The 17,230-nt window shown below is 42.9% G+C and overlaps 1 protein-coding gene across 1 annotated transcript; it reads right to left on the bottom strand.

Annotated features, from left to right (window-relative positions):
- Positions 1-1,112: 1,112 nt before the first annotated feature.
- TAS2R40 (taste 2 receptor member 40) lies at positions 1,113-2,155 on the bottom strand. The gene has a single exon (NM_176882.2). It carries the CDS (start codon positions 2,111-2,113, stop codon positions 1,142-1,144), a length of 972 nt encoding a protein of 323 aa, NP_795363.1. The 5' UTR covers positions 2,114-2,155; the 3' UTR covers positions 1,113-1,141.
- Positions 2,156-17,230: the final 15,075 nt, after the last annotated feature.

The following is a 17,230-nucleotide window of genomic DNA, read 5'->3' as shown; positions in this document are numbered from 1 at the left end:
CAGATTCCTAACGTTCAAGCTCTAAGATATCTGGGGAGAGGGTGTCCAATGTTTTGTGAACAGCTCTTTGAGACAATGCTGCTGGAACCATCCTGAACAATGACAATGGAGAATAATGTTTTTCCTCTTCTCCAGCAGCCTGCCCCAAGTAACCCGCTCTTGCCCCACTATTTACTTCAAGGTAACCCAGAACTGGTAAAACCAGAGGCACAGGTGCCGCTAGCATTGCCACAGAGTCAGGAGCTGAGCAAAACAGACGCTTACTTACTCTGGCCTCTTCCTTTTCTCTTTCTGCTTCCTGCCCACTTCACTCTTTTCCCTGCATTCTTTCTTTCCTCTCTGCTCACTTTGTCCCCTCCCATTTGGAGAAATAAAGCATTGAACTGACCCTTCACATATCCATCTGCCGTTCTATAACTCATCTTTATCTGCAAACATCCTCTCTAGACTATTGGTTTTTACCCATCCCCTCCCTTTTGGCATTATCTTCTGGAACTCCTGGGATCAGGATGTCACCCTATCACTCCACTAATGGCACACATGGCATCCTTTTAGTCAAATCCAGAGCCTTTTTCTTCACCCTTTACTTTCCTCGGAACTCTGCAGCACTTGATAATTTCCAGCAGCCTTTCTTTCCTGAATCTTCTTTTTCTGTAGCCACTCTGGTTTCCCTTCTACCCCGTGGACTGAGTGCTGTGCTCTGCTTCACCAGCCCTAACTGTGTGTTAGTTGGGTGTCTTAAGTAGGATGATCATGTAATTCTTCATCCAGACCATGATATTCTTGAGAATTAAAGGATGCTCAATTGACAACAGACAATAAACAGAGATTGTCCCTGGCAAACCGATATGTCTGGCCACCCTCTCCTTAAGGCTCAGGAGGAGAAGAAAGTGGAGAGATCTCAGGGCAGGATATGAATGAACATAGTTCAAGGAGCTTTCAAAGTCCATCTTCAGGTTTCTTAGTTACTTCTGTTTAGAATCTCAAGTTAAAAATTCAGCTTCATATTTATAAAAGGATCACGTTATCTGAGAAGTGTCAGAGCAGGTTTGGGAGAGAAGAGACGGGTGAGGAGAGAGTTCTACCTGAGGCAAAGGCAGAAGTGGTTGGACCAGGTCCCGCAGAACTCCGTGAGTTCCAGTCACAGAGTCTGCCCTTTTAGGTAAAGAGGAACTTGGTGCTGAAACCGCTTCCAGGCTCTTCTCAGCCCAGGGTTGCCCAAGATCAGTTGTACTGAGTGGCCGGCAGGGTAGGCAGCCATGATGATCTTGCACAAAATATTCCAGGAACTGTAAGTGTCAAAGATGTTGGACGTGGAAAGAAATAGAGCAATTGCATTGAAAATGTAGAGGATGAGAAAGTAGCTGGTGGCTTTGATGGCCCCTATGTGAGCCTTCATGCTGGGGTCCCTGGACCCTGTGGCATTGCTTCCCATGTGTAGGGTGTGTCTCTTGAGAGAGAGGATCAGCAGGGTGGCTGCCAGGATGAACATGATCAGAGGAACGAAGATCCCCATGTTATAGAAAAATACCAGGTTGACCATATTGGTCTCAGAGAAGTACTTCTTCTCCGTGGAGTTGGAGGAGGGGATAGGAATGGAGCTATTCACATACACATTGAAGACATCTCTCGAGAGAGGAAAGCTGAAGCTTAAGGAAACCAACACTGACAGCCTGAGAAGCCAAGGCATCAGCACTATGATTTTCCTCTTCATCAGGAAGAACAAAGGATGATTGAAGTTTGCAATTCTAAGACAATAGAAGACTTTGAGCCAGGCAGCAAACCAGAGATTGGAATGGTTCAGAAAGACAGTGATGACTTTGAAGAGGATATACACTGAGTTTTGGTTATAAACAATTCGGAATAGCAGACTGAAAATGTTCTCCAGCATCATCCAAATCTGTAGCAAGAGCCTGGAAAAGCTCAGCATCAACATAATGCGGTCACCAGTGGGGAGTGTTTTGCCCCTGGCCCACTCAGCCCCATAGATGGCCGTGATGAAGCCACTCCCAAGGATGCCAGTGATGCACTCTATTCCGGAGACCACCAAAGTGAAGGTGACCTTGAACTTGGATATGTCTTTATCTGTGGCATCTGTGTTCACCGTTGCCATTCTCTTTGATCCTGACTTTCAGGTTTCTGCGCCAAGAATGGGTAACTGCTCTGCAATCTTCTGACCCTTGCTCAATGTTATAATTTCTGCCGCCCTCATTAATGGTTATTTCCAATTTTTCTCCATTTGTTTATCACATGACTACAAGTTAGAGGCTTCACATGCAAATAATGAGAGGATCTGGTTACTGGGTCTGTCTCAATTTTTCATAAAGATACATTTGTCTTGGGCTTTCAGAAGCTCACTGGAAATAATTTGAGACATGTTTCTAGCTCAACACCTTCTTACCTTATTTACTTTAAGTCCACATTTACCTGATAAGCAATGAATACAAGGCCTTTTTACTTGTCTCACAAGATCTCTGTTACCTGCTAAATTATTTGTAAAAGCTCATACAGCTTTTAAAATCTGTTTTCCCCACTTCTTTTCTTGTCTCTCTTATTTTGGGAGAGAGTTTTATTTTGATAGTTACCATGTTTGTGAATAAGAAATTCCCATAAGCTCATATATGAACATCTTTTACTTAGAATTGAGTTTCTTCCAAAAAGGCCTGCTATTATAATGTCCTCGAATAGTATATAGAAAAGCCAAAATTGGATGCTATTCGAGTTGGAGAGAAGGAAGTCTCCATAGTCCCAGTTTTTATTGTTTGTGTATGTGTCATCAATTTCAGCTTACTGAGATCCCACATGACTATTTGAGCTCAGAATCAGGTAGAATGAGCCTGGGGAGAATTCAGTGTTCTGGACATGGTGTTGAAGTTTGGAAATGTGATAAGGTACTATGACTTGAAATTTAATTTCCTACTTTTTAACCCTGGCTGTGAACCAGAATGAACTCTGGCACTTTACAAGAATATGTAGATGCCCAGGACTCGTCCAAATCTAGGAAATCAGAACTGGACTAGGGCTCAGGCATGCTATCTTTTAAAAAAGCCGAAAGGTCTTGTTGCTCATAGTCAGGATTGAGATCCAAAATCTTAGCTGGAAACCAATGAGCCTTGGGTCAGATTTGGCCTGTAGTCATTTTACCTTGCATTGGTTAATGCTGTACAGCATTAATCCACCAGTGTGTAACTTTTCTTTTTGAGGGGTTCTATTGGCAAACATTTAAACTTAGGAGATTACTTATATGCATGCACAAAAAATCTATCTTCTCTTGAAAAATTAGAAGATTTGGCAGTATTGGGTCTTCATAGTGAACTGGCTGAAGCTGAGTAATGGCTGCCCATTTTAAACAAGGTATATACTTTTCAGTTTGTTGACAATACTAATTCCTAGTGTCTTCTTGACACAGAAGCTGAGTGCCAGTTATCATTTTCCAGTGTGCTTACCCTGTTATTTTTATTTGATTATTTTTCTTTTTGAGACTGGGTCTCACTCTATCACCCAGGCTGGAGTGCAGTGGTGTAATCATGGCTCACTGCAGCCTTGACCTCCATAGCTCAGGTGATCCCCACACTTCAGCCACCTGAGTAGCTGGGACTACAGATGCATGCCAACACACCTGGCTAAGTTTTGTATTTTTTGTAGAGACAGAGTTTCGCCATGTTGGCTAGGCTGATCTTGAATTCTTGGGCTCAAGCAATCCTCCCATCTCAGCCTCCGAAAATACTGGGACTATAGGTGTGAGCTACCATCCTTCACACCTTGGTCCATTATATTTTGGGCCTTGGTCCATTATATTTTTTAATAATATAAATTGATGAATGATAAAAATGGGTTTCCCCACCCCAAATTAATTTTATTTAAAATAAGGAAGTTGGCTGGGCGCAGTGGCTCATGCCCGCAATCCTAGCACTTTGGGAGGCTGAGGAGGAGGATTGCTTGAGCTCAGGGGTTTGAGGTCAGGCTGGGCAACATAGTGAAACCCCTTCTCTACCAAAAATACAAAAAATTATCTGGGCATGGTGGCATGCACCTGTGGTCTCAACTACTCGAGAGGCTGAGGTGGGAGGATCCTTGAGCCTGGGAGGCGGAGGTCTCAGTGAGCTGAGATGGAGCTACTGCACTCCAGCCTGGGTGACAGAGCCAGACCGTGTCTCAAAAATAAATAAATTAATTAAATAAGGAAGTAGAGATTTATTATTTGTATAGAAATAAGCACCAGGCAAAGCAATATATTTCAAAATTAAGAAAGCATTATTTAGGGAAATTAAAACTTATGTCAACACGGAGATTTGTACAAAAATGCTCACAGCAGCTTTATTCATAATAGTCAGAACTGGAAACGAGATTTGTTGGCAGGTTCTGCATCTCCTGTAAGAGACTCATTAACTTTGGTTAGTTCTCTTAATTGAGGACAGTAGTATTTGTCAGCAGCTTTCACGTATTCCAAAGCATCAAACTCACTTTTTGGTTTATTTTGTCCCAACATATGCAAGTTTGTAATAAATGATATCTCCCCAAATTTCTGGCACACAATCGTTGACTTCCATTGTTCTGGTACTGTTTTCTATTGGTCTTCATTCATGTTTTTCTCTGATTTTAAGAGGTGGGAACAGAAGGAGATCTTGGGCAGGGTCTGCCTGCAGCCCCAGAGGCTCAGGCAAGAGGAGCAGGGAGGGGATCAGCCATTGGGGTGTGGGACTATTGCTGAGGCTCAATGCAAGCTGGCAGTCTGGGCTGACAACTCCAAGGCACTCACAGTGCCACATTTATAGCTATGTGGGGCCAATTCATTTTTATTCCATATTTTATCATTTGGAGAGCTAGAATGGAGGCATCATCTCTACTTTAGAGAAGTTCTTTTTTTATTTTTATTTTTGGAGACAGGGTCTTGCTCTGTCACCCAGGCTGCAGTGCAGTGGCACGATCTCAGCTCACTGAAACTTCCCCCTCCCAGGTTCAAGCGATTCTCATGTCTCAGCCTCCCAAGTAGCTGGGATTACAGGTGTGTGCCACCATGCCTGGCTTATTTTTGTATTTTTAGTAGAGACGGGGTTTCACCGTGTTGGTCAGGCTGGCCTTGAACTCCTGGCCTCATGTGATCCACCTGTCTTGCCCTCCCGTAGTGCTGGGATTACAGGCGTGAGCTACTGCACCCGGCCTGCTTTAGAGAAGTTCTCATGGGGGTCTTCAAGGAACAAAAGTTTCAAATTCTTGGCTACGAAGTTTAAAAGCTTTGGTCCAGGCATAGGATAGAACAGATTGGAAGAATACACCTATTCTTCCAATGTTTCCAGGGAAACATTTTTCTTTCACATCTCTCTCCATCACTACCATGTAGACTAGAAAATGCTTTCCCAGTTGGAGAGGAATGAAAGAAGAGGAGGCAGGAAAGAGCTAGAGAAGGTAAGGATCTCTTTTGAAGGGGTCCCACATCTTGGCCCACTGCTCATGGCTGCATGGGGGTGTCAAAGGCAGACAGGCTGCAAGAGGGCCCCTGAGTCCCCTGCAGCCTGTCCACACTTGGGAGAGCTGTTCAACCTTCCTTGTGTTCACAGAAGGAGTTTGGAAATCTGCTAAGGGAGTTATCGGATTCCATGGGGTCTAGTGGCCATATCAAGGAGACTTTACAAGCATGAGATCAAAGTGTGGACACGTGAATTGACATCAACGTAAGGACAGGAATGACCACAGTATAGACTCTACATCCCACCTTCATGCCAAATCTTTGAGTGACTCCCAAGGAGCATAGGTGTCCTTCATGGAAGACAAGAAGGAGAAAGGAGAAGGGATAAACACAACATGTTTCTCCCCCTCCAGTTTCAGTGCCCCATTCTGTGCTTCCCATCCAATTGTAATGTCTTGGGCAGGTTCCAAATGTTCGTCTTCTTTTGGTTATTAATACTCAGTCCAGTTTAATTTCATATTTGGTTTAAGTATTATCTTCTGCCTTTCCCCAAGCACAGTTTCAGCTGACACCCCATCTGCTAGGACTGGGAGGAGACAAGGTGGACCCTGAGACACCCGTCTCTCCCTCTTCAGTTTTTGGCTAGTGTATGAGAGAGAGGACAGGCAGAAGAGTCTCTTTATTTCCCTGGCTGCTGTTGTAAATGCACTCTTTTGTGCTGCTGCTGCTCCCCTGGCCAACACCATCTGGCCCTCCATGACTTCCGGGTGCCAGATATCCATATGTTGGCTGTCTTGTGAGGATCTCATGTGAGTCTTGAGGAGGCTCTGCAGCAACTCTTCACTCTGCTGCCCATAACTCCCATAGGCCCCCCTTCTTCCTCCCTAATCTTTCTATATGTGCAGACTCAGGTGGAGGGCTGCTGCTGGGATCCTGGCCATTTGCAGGTACTGCTGCCTCTTATTAAGCTTTGCAGGTAGATATTTGGCCTCAATTGTTGGCTGCTTTCTTTAGATCTGTTTTTCTCAACCCTGTCCACATTCTAGAATTACCCTTATGACTGGAAGGGCTTTTGCAAAGCACCTATACATATGTCCCACCCTCGAAGATTATGAATAATTGTTCTGGAGAACAGCTAAGCATTGGCATTTTCAAAACTCCCCACTGTGATTCTTATATGAAGCAGGACAGGGTTGAGAATCACTGCCCTTTGGGGGGACTTACCCTTATGGTTTTTAGTATGAGCTCCAGGGTTACTTGGGGCAACAGGAAAAGTGGCCCTCAATATCTTTGTAGAAGTGACCGAATGACTTCCTGAAGAAGACTAAGAGGACATATCGTTTATCAGGTGGTAGGAGACCAAATTCAGAGATTGAATTAGGAAAATAATTATAACATTTTGCAGAACTGGGTTTTTGGTGGTGTGAAGTCACATCTACCCAATAGTATTAGAAAAGTAGCATATTTCTTGTAGTCATATCTTTATTAAAAGTAGGAAAAGGAAGATAGACTGAGGGGGTCATATGTTCCTCCTGTGTTCCTCATAGAACCCTCCTGTGTGCATATTTGGCAAAAGATGTAATTTAAGAAAACAGTGTAGGTGCCATTATGAAACAAACCACTGGAAGAAGAAAGAAGAGGGCCATGGAAGAGACATGTGATCAAAACCTAAGGAGCTGAAGAGAGAATTGTAATGTCAACAAGGTTTGTCTTGGTTGTTTAAGAAATAAGAAGTCATAAATAAAAAATCTGCCTGGGACATCAAATTCTTCACAGATAGCAAGTTGTAAAAGAGAATCTACTGAATGTAGCGGAAATTGTGTGTCCTGAAAAGATACAAGCACGTGCAAATGTAAATGTAACTAGAAATACTGTTGCTCAATGCAATGGAAATGTGACTAAGAAATGAAAAGAAAAATCATGTGAAAAAATTTTTAAATGGTGGCATTTGCTATTGCAGTTGGTGAAGATACATATTTAGTAATATTTAGATGTAGTAATGAGCTCTATTAACCACCATGGGGGTTAAGAATTTTTATATGACTGAAAAATATTTTGGACAGTGTGCTCATGACAGACACAACCTTAGGAAATGATTAAGAAAATAATTTTTTTGTGTGTATAGAGGAAACTTTCAAACAATTTAATGCAGAAGACTTGTGTGCCTATAGGATGATATTCCTGGGATGAGCAGTGTTTATATCAGACTTGCAATAAAACTTAAACTCTAGGTGGCAAGTTATATAAAGACACAGGCTTTACATCTACTTGCTTGCATTATTTAGCAGGAATTGCTTTCTGCGAGAAGCTAAAAATTGAAGATGTCCCGAACACAGCGTTCATACTGTGAGCTGGATCTCCTTGTAGGGCTTCAGGCACAGAGTGTTGGATGCACTGTGTGATGAATTGGACACGTAGCATGGCAGTCTGCTCATGACACAGAGGGTGGGTGGCTTAGTCATGGCTGAAAGCAAAGCAGCATTGTTGAACAGTTAAGAGAAATGAACTTATTCACATCATTGGAGGGAAAAAAGCTTTGCTTATGTTAAGCAGCGAAGATTGTTATCATATAATTGACCTTTGGGGTAGACAAACACTTTGAATATTTCCCCGCAAAGGCATCCACAAAGCAGTTATAAAATGTAGAATAGAGTCTGCTGCCAAGGGTGTTAAAAAAAGAAAAAAAAATGTTTTAGGAAGGCATATCTGGCATCGTTACTAAGTCCTCTTTTCTGTGGTTGGAATTAGTTTCTAGAAATACAACTGATGGCCTGAAACCTGTGATAAAAATTGTGATACACTGAAAACTGATTCCTCAAAATGGCTTATTGATTTCAGACTTTGTGAAGATAACCTCCCATTGTTCAATGCACCTTGTCAATTCCTACTTATAGTGTGAAAAATGACTCATGGTGTGATATAGGATTGGACATTTTGTACAGTGACACTGGAATGCCAGGCTTCTACAAATATCTTCACAGTTGTGCAAAGACTCATATTTTAAAATATCTACGTTTTTGAACAGCTCTCTCCCAGTATTAAACTAATTAGGACTAATTATCACTTCTAGTTAATGGGTCCCAGTCAAGGCTGAATTCTGTTTTCATTATACAACTTAACACAGGTTTAACAAGGACATATTGGTACTGAAGAAAAAGTGAGCAAATTGTAAAATAAAATACTAGAAATGAAATATTTATATTTTATCTTTTTTTCAATTCTGAATTTAAGATACAATCTTCAATATCACATATATATTCATACACATACACATTATCTGGTATGGTTGCAGTCTTAGTTTAGAAAAATAAACACAGTGATTATTTTCCTGACAGTTGGTTTGTTTTGTCATACGGCTGCCATGTTCGCCCGTACACCTTGACGTCTCTGGCTTCTGCAGACCCTGGAGTTTTGAATGAGCTCTTCCAGGCCTAGGTCTTACTTAGGAATGGATTATGTGTTAGCAGTAAAGCTTATTAACAGTTTTCACCACAAGATGGAGCCTTATGAATGCCTCTCGGAAAAGGGAGCAATTCCTTAATTCGCCCACTAGTGGGCAGGCATGCTCTTTCTAAATAGGAAACTTCTGGGGAAACCTTTCAAAACCTATTTGAGACAATTGACTGAGAGTTTTACCTCCTCTCTTCTAAGGAGGTCTCTGATTCTTTGTACTTATGATCAGTTATTTCAGACAGTTTTCAAGAGAAAATTTATATTGTCTCTTAATCAAGCCTCTTTAAAAAAAAATATATTTTAGTGAAAGGGTCTTGCTATGTGGCCCAAGCTGGAGTGCAGTGGCTATTCACAGATGCATTCACGGTGCATCACTACAGCATCGAACTCTTGGCCTCAAGTGATCCTCTGGCCTCAGTTTCCTGAGGAGCTGAGATTATAGGCATGTGCCACTCTCCCCAACCACATATACTTTTAATTAACAGATTGGTCAGTATATTTTTGCAAGATAAATTGCAAATGAAAACTATAGTCCTTAAGTAGACTAACTTTAATTGATTACAGATGCTATTTCTAAAGAATCCAAAACATGCTGGGCGAAGTGGCTTACTCTTGGAACCCCAGAGTAATTTCAAGGCAGGAGAGGAGGCCAAGACAGGAGGATTCCTTGAGGCCAGGAGTTTGAGACCAGCTGGGCATCATAGTGAGACCTCATCTGTTAAAAAAAAACATTAGCCAGATATGATGGTGAATATCTATAGTCCCAGCTACTTGTGAGACTGAGGTGGGAGGATTGCTTGAGGTGGGAGGTTGAGGCTACAGTGAGCTGTGATCACGCCACTGCACTCCAGCCTGGGCAACAGAGGGAAACCCTGTCTCAAAAACAAAAACAAAAACAATCCAAAACATTAGAATGATATAATGCTACTGCTGCCAGTGACCTGCAAGATGGCTTAGCACAGGAGCTCCCCATATAGGGGTGAGTAAACGAAGTCCTTCAGAAGTGAGGGGAATTGACCAAAGCCATACACCTACTGAGGTATTATTGGACTATCAAGCAGAGGGTCTCAGAAAGTCCCTTCACACTTGCATTTGGATTTTCATTAAAATTCTCTGCTGGATTTTTTTTTCTGCCAATGAGGTAATTTCTTGCCTAATTAGGTTCTTCTCATCCAACCCAGGAAATGGCTATAAAATCTCATTTAGGCAATGTTCAACAATCTTTTTGCCCTAAATGAAGTAATTACCTGCGCTTGGGTATAGACACATACAGTGGCCATTAATTTTCAACAAAACTGGAGCCCTTTTTATTCATTCAACAAATATTTATTAAGTGCCCACGATGTCCCTGGGGATAAATAGTAGATAAGACAGGTTCCTGTCTTAAGAAGATGTACATTTGAATTTGTATGTGTGTTTGCAGGGGGTAGGAGGAAGGGGAGATATATGGTTTGGCTGTGTCCTCACCCAAATCTCATCTTGAATTCCCATGAGTTGTGGAAGGGACCTGGTGGGAGATAATCGAATCATGGGGGGAGGTCTTCCCTGTGCTGTTCTCCTGTTAGTGAATAAGTCTCACAAGATCTGATCATTTTATAAAGAGGAGTTCCCCTGCATGAGCGCTCTCTCTTTGCCTGCCACCATCCATGTAAGACGTGACTTGCTCCGCCTTGCCTTCCTCCATGATTGTGAGGCCTCCCCAGCCATGTGGAACTTTAAGTCCATTAAACCTCTTTTTCTTCCCAGTCTTGGGTATGTCTTTATCAGCAACATGAAAACAGACTAATACAGGGAGTAAGGGAGTTTGGGAAGGGTAGACAATAAACAAATAAATAATATAATTTCAGATGGTGATAAGTGTCATAAAGACAATAAGGTATTGATTTTCACAAGGGTGCCAAAACTATCTGGAGGAAGGAAAACTCTTAAAAAATGGTAGTGAAACAACTGAATATCCACATGCAAAAGAATGAAGTTAGACCTCCATCTTACACCATATACAAAAAGTAACTCAAAATGGATCAAAGATGTAAATATAAGAGAACATAAGTGTAAATCTTTGTGACCTTGGATTAGGCCATGGTTTCTCAGATATGAGACCTAAAGTACAAGCAATGAAAGAAAAGTAAATATAATAAATTGGGCTTCATAAAAATTCAAAAGTTTTGTGCTTCAAAGGGCCCTATCAAGAAACTGAAAGACAACCCACATTCTGGGAGAAAATATTTGCAAAATCATATATCTGATAAGGGCCTAGTATTCAGAATATATAAAGAACTCTTACAAGCAAACAGTAAAAGAAAACTCAATTAAAAAAATGGGCAAAGGGAATGCTGCTAAGAGATGCCAAGAAGAATCTGAACTGACAGGCCTGGCTGGGTTCTTCCTTTCAGTCTATGAGCATTTGATCTTACTCTTTTTGTCCAATCATGTTTCCATACTTTGCTGAACCATGTTAATGTTTATAAACATGGGCAGTTTCCCCTGGATCTCTGAGTCTTCATTCTGAAGACGGCTGTGTCACATGAGCTGTGATAAAATAACTTTGTTATGCTCTTCTATTTGAAAAATAATGGAAGCAATGGACACTGAGACTCCAAAAGCAGGGAGGGGGAAGGGAGGCAAGGGTTGAAAAACTATCTATTGTGTGTTCACTATTTGGGTGATGAGTTCACTAGAAGCCTAAACCCTAACATTATGCAATATACCTATGTACCAAACCTGCATATGGACCCCTCTGAATTTATAATTTAAAAAAGTGACTGTTCCCTTCTTCTGCCTCTGAATAAACTTCTACCATAATGTTCCCCTCCCCCGCAGAATGGGCAAAGGGCCAGGCATGGTGGCTGACGCCTGTAATTCCTAGTATTGTGGGAGGCTGAGGCGGGAAGATTGCTTGAGCCCAAGAGTGCGAGACCAGCCAACATAACAAAACCCCATCTCTACTAGAAATGAAAAAAAAAGAAAAATAGCCGGGTGCAGTGGCACATGCCTGTAGTCCCAGCTACTCAAGAGGCTGAGGTGGGAGAGTCACACTTGAGTCTGGGAAGTCAAGGCTGCAGTGAGCCGTGATTGCACTACTGCACTCCAACCCGGGTGACAGTGAGACCCTGTCTCAAAAAAAAAAAATGGGCAAAGGATTTGAATAGATATCTTTTCAAAGAAGATATTCAAATGGCCAATAAGCACATGAAAAAAATGCTCAGCATCATTAGTCATTAGGGAAACACAAATCAAAAACACAAGGAGATACCATTTCTTACCCACTAGGATGGCAAAAATAAGGAAGATGATGACAAGTGTTGACAAGGCTATGGAGAAACTGGAACCCTCATACACCACTGGTGGGAACACAAAATGGTTCAGTCACTTTGGAAAACAGTTCCTCAAAAAGTTAATGAGAAAGTAGGGAGAGGGAATAGAGAGAAAGTGGGCATAGGGTAGTGATGGGATTATTTTAAGAGAAGGTTTCAGTAAGAAGGTAACATCTGAGTGGAGTATTTGTTGAAATAATGACTGGAGAAAGCACATAAACTTTGCTCTGCTCCCAGTTTTCTCTTCTTTTGTTTGTAAATAGCCTTTCTTTGATACATAAACATTAGATTGTATCCTTCCCTACTCCAGTTCTACAAATTTTTGTAAAAGTCACTCTCAGGAAATAAAAGTCATCATTCTTTGATGACAATGTTGGCCTACAGTGCTTCCTGGCAGAATTAGTTAATAAGCAGCTGTCTAAGTCCCAATAATTCCGTACATATCTTTATCTTTTTTTTTTTTTTTTGAGATGGAATCTCGCTCTGTCGCCCAGACTAGAGTGCAGTGGCACTACCTCAGCTCACTGCAACCTCTGCCTCCTGGGTTCAAGCGATCCTCCTGCCTCAGCCTCCTGAGTAGCTAGGACTATAGGCACATGCCACCACGCCCAGCTAATTTTTGTAATTTTAGTAGAGATGGGGCTTCACCATGTTGGCCAGGCTGGTCTGGAACTCCTGACCTCAGGTGATCCACCCACCTCAGCCTCCCAAAATGTTGGGATTACAGGCATGAGCCATCGTGCTCGGCCAGGAAAGCACTTTAATTGGAAGTCAAAGAGTTGCTTGCTTGCGATCAGGGTATTCCAACCTTGACAGTATTAACATTTTAGACCAGATAGTTTTTTGTTGTTGTTGTGGAGGCTTTCTGTGCATTGTAACATGTTTAGCAGCATCTCTGGGCTCTACTCACTGGATACTGGTGGCATATTCTCAGTCATGATGATCTTAGATATCTCAAGACATTAACCAATGATGCCGTGGGGGCAAACATTGTCCTTGGTTGAGAAACACTGCTTTAGAAAAAGATGCATTGTCAAGAATCCTGCTACGGAGGTCTGGAAAACCTACAATGTGTCCCATAAGGAAGTCAGTGTATTCGTTTCCTGGGGTTGCTGTCATAAGGTACCACACATTTAGCAGCATGAAACAACACGGGTATATTGCCTTACAGTTCTGGAGGGAGGTCAGAGGTCCAGCAAAGATTCCACTGTGCTACCGTCAAAGTGCTGGCAGGGCTGTGTTCCTTCTGGAAGTGCTCCAGATAATCCCTTTCCTTGCCCTTTCCAGCTTTTCCAGACGGCCCTCATTCCTTGGCTGACAGTTCCCAGCCAGCAATGGCATCACTTTGATCTCTGATTCCATTGTCACTCACTTCTCTGACTCTCACCCTCCTGCCTAAGGACCCTTTGGATTAAACTGGGCCTATCTGGCCAGGTGTGGTGACCCATGCCTGTAATCTCAGCACTTTGGGAGGTCAAGGTGGGTGGATCACTTGAGGCCAGGAGTTCGAGACCCGCCTGGGCAATGTGGTGAAACCCTGTCTATAAAAAAAAAAAAAAAAATTAGCCACACGTGGTGGCTGGTCCCCATGGTCCCAACTACTTGAGGTGGGAGGATCACCTGAGCTCCAGAGGCATAGGTTGCAATAAGCCAAGATCAAGGCAGTGCACTCTAGCCTGGGTGACAGAGTGACACTCTGTCTCAATAAAATAAATAAATAGGGCCCATATGGATAATCCAGGATCCTCTCTCCATTGCAAGGTTCTGAACTTAATCACACCTGCTAAGTCCCTTTGGCCACGTAAGGTAACATTCACACGTGCCACAGATTAGAAGATGGACATTTTGGGGAGCATTATTCTGCCCATCAGTGACAGGGGAGTGGGGGCAGGGAAGTGCTGAGTAGAGAAGGGCAGGGTCCCTGACAAGGGCTCCACCCTCGGGCTTGTGCCCACGGACGCAAATGAGAACAAGCATTTCTGTTTTTGCGCCCCAAAAGTTGCCTTTTGGCCCACCACGCCCCCCATCCTGTACCCGTGTAAGCCCAAGACCTTAAGCGGACACAGACACAAGTGGCTGGACGTTGAGAGGAGCAGAGGGGCACAAGAGCACACTGACAGACACCAGCAGACACCGGCACGCCATCTAGGGCAGGACGACGTGGCATTCGGTTGGGGGCAGTCGGAGGAGAGTCTGTCCGCTGGGCAGCCCGACTCCAAGGAAGACTACCTTCCCACTCCATCCCCTTCTGGTTCCTCATCCACCTCACTGAGAACAACCTCCACCACTCAATAAAACCTTGCACCCATCCTCCAAGCCCACGTGATTCGATTTTCCCAGTACCCTGGGACAAGAACTCAGGATACAGACAGCCCTCTGTCCTTGCAATAAGTCAAGGGATCTAATTGAGCCGCTTGACACCAGCTGCCTGCAGACGGCAAAGCTCAAAGAGTAAACTGTAGCACACGCCCACTGGGGCTTCTTTGGGAACTGTAAACACTCAGCCCTAGATGCTGCTGTGGGGTTGGAGCCCAAAAAAGCTCCCCAAGACCTGCTTATCTGCATGTTCCGGCTAGGGGTTTGAGCAGCGGGGCACCAAAGAATCGAGCCACACCCCTGTGGCATAATCTGCAAAGGGAATAAGGGAATTTTTCCCGCTTCATTAGTATTTGGGCATATGTCAACCAGAGGGCATTGAGTAGCCACATTGCACCGGAACTAGTTAAGTAATTACCTAAACTTTTTCCTCTTCCCTCCCTTCCTGCCTCCAGAAACTGGCAGCAGTTGAGCAAGCAGGGAAAGGAAGGTGAGGAAAAGAGATTTTATCGGATCCATTCTCATTGCTGGAACTGGGGTAAAGCTCTGTGGCCCAGGCCTTGCTGGAGAGAGGGAGAGCACCTTAAAATGAGATGGGAGATAACAGTTTTGATTGTAATAGGACTGAACCTTTTTTTAATCTTTTACCTAAAAATAATGTTGTTTTGATTTCTGACATGTCTAGACCTGAAAGGTTGCTCTTAAACGCAGAAGAAAGCTGTTAAACAGTAAAACCAAAGGCAGTGATGGAAAGAGAAAAAGTTATCCTTCGTGGTGCTTTGTAGAATCTGGTTCTTTGAATAAACCTGGAACCAGATGATTTTAGGGGAGGGGATTTCAAAATTCTATGAAGCCACCTCATGGACTGTGAAGGTCTTCCTAGAGAGGGTGAGATTGCTGGGAGTTGTGCCAGTCGGTACCAGGAGACTGAGAGGTGGTGCCTTGGGAAGCCCACGGTTTTTTTTTCTTTTCCTAGGACCACCGGATGTTTTTCTGTTACCTAGATGTTTGGGGAAGGCAGCAGAGGAAGGAGATAAGAGAGAAGTGTGAGAGAAAAGTGGAAAGACCTGGACTGAGAGCCACCAGCCTTCTTGTGAGAGAAGAATACATAGATAATATTTTAAATCTGTGCTGGCAGAAAATGCTGGGGCATGCGGCCACCAAAGGGAGAGAGGTACAGCTTGCCTCTCTGCAATCAAACTTAAAAATGCTTCCAATTTGTAAATGGATGGCTTGCTTAAACGCTAAAGCTGTAACCAGGGAACTTTCCTGGGTTTCTTGAGGACACCAATCAAACGTCTAAACCCAAGTTTCTCCCCTCGTCGCTGGGTGAGCCTTCATCCTGAGTCCTTCACTTTTCTGGGATCCAGGAACATAGTAGGACAGGTTACTCAAACACTAAAACTTTGAGTGGAAATTGTTAATCTAAAACCAGAATTACTTATGGCTTTTTATTACATGTGATATGGTTAAAAAATATATTTATATATAATTTTGGTTTTTTAAATATATATGTGTGTATATATATATATATATATATATATATATACTTTTTTTTTTTGAGACAGGTTCTAGCTCTCTCACCCAGGCTGGAGTGCAGTGGCGTGATCACAGCTCGCTGCAACCTCCGCCTCCTGGGCTCAAGTGATCCTCCCACCTCAGCCTCCCGAGTAGCTGGGACCACAGGCACCACCATGCCCGGCTAATTTTTGTAGAGACAAGGTTTTGCCATGTTGTCCAGGCTAGTCTCAAACTCCTAAGCTCAAGTGATCTGCCTTTCTCAGCCTCCCCAAGTGCTGGGATTTCAGGCATGAGCCACCGTGCCCGGCCCTATTTATATATAATTTTGAAGACCATTTTAAGAATTCTGTAAACCAAAAATAAAATTCCAGGCCCCCCAACATCTGAATGGACCCCTTCTCTTGGCCAAGAGCATTGTGAAGTTAACCTGAAAAACGCATTCAGGCCATGATAGAAAGGGGGAGTCGGACATGCCTCATTACATCCTCCTTCCTTTTGGAATTCAGGCCCAACTGACCAGTATTAACATCAACACAGACCTTAAGACTAATAGACTCTCCATCTGATAGGAAACATTTACAATCTATTCTCTCTGAAGCCTGCTACCTGGAGGCTTACCTGCATGATAAAACCTTGGTCTCCACAACCCCATATTGTAACCTAGACATTTCTTTCTATTGATTCCAGGCCTGTAGATAATAACTCAACCTATTGTCCATCAGAAAATTTTTGAATTTGCCTATGACCTGAAAGCACCCCCTTCCAGTTGTCCCACCTTTCTGGACTGAGCCAATATACATCTTATATTGATTGATGTCTTTTTTTTTTCTTTTTTTTTTTTTATTACACTTTAAGTTTTAGTGATTGATGTCTTTTGCCTCCCTAACTGTATAAAACAAAGTTGTAGCCTGTCCACTTTGGGCATATGTTCTCAGGATCTCCTGAGGGCTGTGTCATGGGCCACGGTCACTCATACTTGGCTCGGAATAAATCTCTGCAAATATTTTACAGAGTTTACCTGTTTAGGTCATCAATTAAAAAGTGGCAAATATATTCTGGTTGTAATTTTTCCATAAAAAGAGATACAGTGATTTGGGTCTTTTGCTTGTTTTTGTTTTTTCTTTCTTTGCGGGGGGGACGGCATTGGGGAGATAGAAGATTATGGAGCACCAAAAATGGTTGTGTGTTACATGAAGGGAACAAGATGTTGGAATATCTG

The sequence above is a fragment of the Homo sapiens genome, chromosome 7 (assembly GCF_000001405.40).
Source record: "Homo sapiens chromosome 7, GRCh38.p14 Primary Assembly".
NCBI classification, from domain to species: domain Eukaryota; kingdom Metazoa; phylum Chordata; class Mammalia; order Primates; family Hominidae; genus Homo; species Homo sapiens.
This window is presented reverse-complemented; position numbering and strand designations above follow the sequence as displayed.

Coding starts and splice junctions, on each gene's coding strand:
- TAS2R40 (NM_176882.2), bottom strand. CDS start 2,113: ATGGCAACGGTGAACACAGATGCCACAGATAAAGACATATCCAAGTTC.